The sequence below is a fragment of the Homo sapiens genome, chromosome 3 (genome assembly GCF_000001405.40).
Source record: "Homo sapiens chromosome 3, GRCh38.p14 Primary Assembly".
Classification (NCBI taxonomy): Eukaryota; Metazoa; Chordata; class Mammalia; order Primates; family Hominidae; genus Homo; species Homo sapiens.
Window position 1 is genome coordinate 3,119,864 of NC_000003.12, and position 2,133 is coordinate 3,121,996.

A 2,133-nucleotide genomic window follows, 5' to 3' on the forward strand; every position below is an offset into this window, starting at 1 on the left:
GGTTTTGAGGCAGAATATCTGGCTCCAAATTCTGCTTGTGCCACTTACTCTCTGTAGGACCTTAGACAAATAAACCTCTCTATGCCTCAGTTTCCTCTTCTATACAGTACCTAATTGGATGTTTGTGAAGATTAAACAAATTAATCAAAATAAAATGCCTGGCACTATTCTAAACACAATACCATTGGTAGGTAGCCTTATTCTTACTGTATTACCCATGCCACTGGCAAATTGTGAGCACTGAAACCTCTGGTGAATGAATGAATGCATAAATGAATGGAAGTAATGTTACATTCACAACTTCTCTGTGTGTACCATTGCTTCTCTCTCTAGTGTGCAGAATGAATCAGTGTCACAGACACATAGTCAAAATTTAGATAAGCCAAGAGACAATTGAACACTGGGGAGCCACATTTTGGCTACTAGATGTACAAAGAACGGATCTAAGATCTGGTTTACTATGAAGAAAGATGGAAGCTCTTTGAGGCAATTGCTAAACTCTTGAGGGCATCTCTAGTAAGCACTGAAGGACACTCGAACCAGTGTTCAGACCTAACATTGGTGTATCTAAGAAATATTGATATATACTTCTAAGCTGTTCTTATCTTACTTTTCTGATTTTTTTTTTTTTTTTTTGAGACAGAGTCTCACTCTATTGCCCAGGCTGGAGTGCAGTGGTGGGATCTTGGCTCACTGCAACCTCCACCTCCCACGTTTGAGCGACTCTCTTGCTTCAGCCTCCCGAGTAGCTGGGATTTCAGTCATGTGCCATCAGGCCCAGATAGTTTTTGTATTATTATTCTTTTTTTTAGTAGAAACAGAGTTTCACCAAGTTGGCCAGGCTGGTCTCAAACTCCTGGCCTCAAGTGATCTGCATGTCTCAGCCTCCCAAATTGAGCCACCACTCCTGGCCTCCTGAATTTATTTAATAATGTGTAGCCTTCTAACTGAAGAGTAATATTCATGACTGTGGTGTTTCCACAGAAAGGTATAAACTTGCCAGATGCTAACAGCACTCCCTGTCTATGGTATTTACTTTTGGGTATGTTCTACAGAGAGAGAATATTTCCAGTAGGATTTCTGTGCAGTAAATGTCAGTTCCTTTGCAGATAAAGTTTTATTTCCTTTAGGATGGGTCTATATTAAGAGATAATAGAAAACGTCTTGTGTGGGAGAGAGGAGTTTGAGACCGCTTTGGTTGTCTTCACCATGTCCTAAGGGGTTGAACTGGGCATTCTGTCCAGAGTTCTTTCACCCTTTAGTTTAATGACCTCAAAGTTCTGTCCTGCTTTCATAGGTACATACTTCAATAATTGAATTTTCATGTTCTTAATTTTTTTTGCTAATATATAAAAATGTAATTACTTTTGGGGGGAGGCTTATTGAGGTATAATTTATAAGCAGGAAAGTTTACCTTTTAAATGTACTTGGTATGGTTTGGGTGTGTGTCCCCATTCAAATCTCTCATCAAATTGTAATCTCCAATATTGGAGGTGGGGCCTGGTGGGAAGTGACTGGATCATGGGGGTGGATTTCCCCATCAGTGCTGTTCTTCTCATAGTGAGTTGCAGTGAGATCTGGCAATTTAAAAGTGTGCAGTACCTCCCCACCACTCCTTTTTCCCACTCTGGCCATGTAAGAGGAGCCTACTTCCCCTTCACCTTCCACCATGTCTGCAAGTTTCCTGAGGCGTCCCCAACCATGAGCCGACCGAACGAACCATGAGCCAATTAAACCTCTTTTTTTTTTTTTTTTGAGACGGAGTGTTGCTCTGTCACCCAGGCTGGAGTGCAGTGGCGCGATCTCGGCGATCTCGGCTCACTGCAAACTCCGCCTCCCGGGTTCACCCCATTCTCCTGCCTCAGCCTCCCGAGCAGCTGCGATTACAGGCGCCCGCCACCACACCCGACTATTTTTTTGTATTTTTAGTAGAGACGGGGTTTCACCGTGTTAGCCAAGATGGTCTCGATCTCCTGACCTCGTGATCCACCCGCCTCGGCCTCCCAAAGTGCTGGGATTACAGGCTTGAGCCACCGCACCTGGCCTTAAACCTCTTTTCTTTATAAATTACCCAGTCGCAAGTATTTCTTTATAGCAGTGTGAGAATGGACTAATACAATACTGTTCTATGCA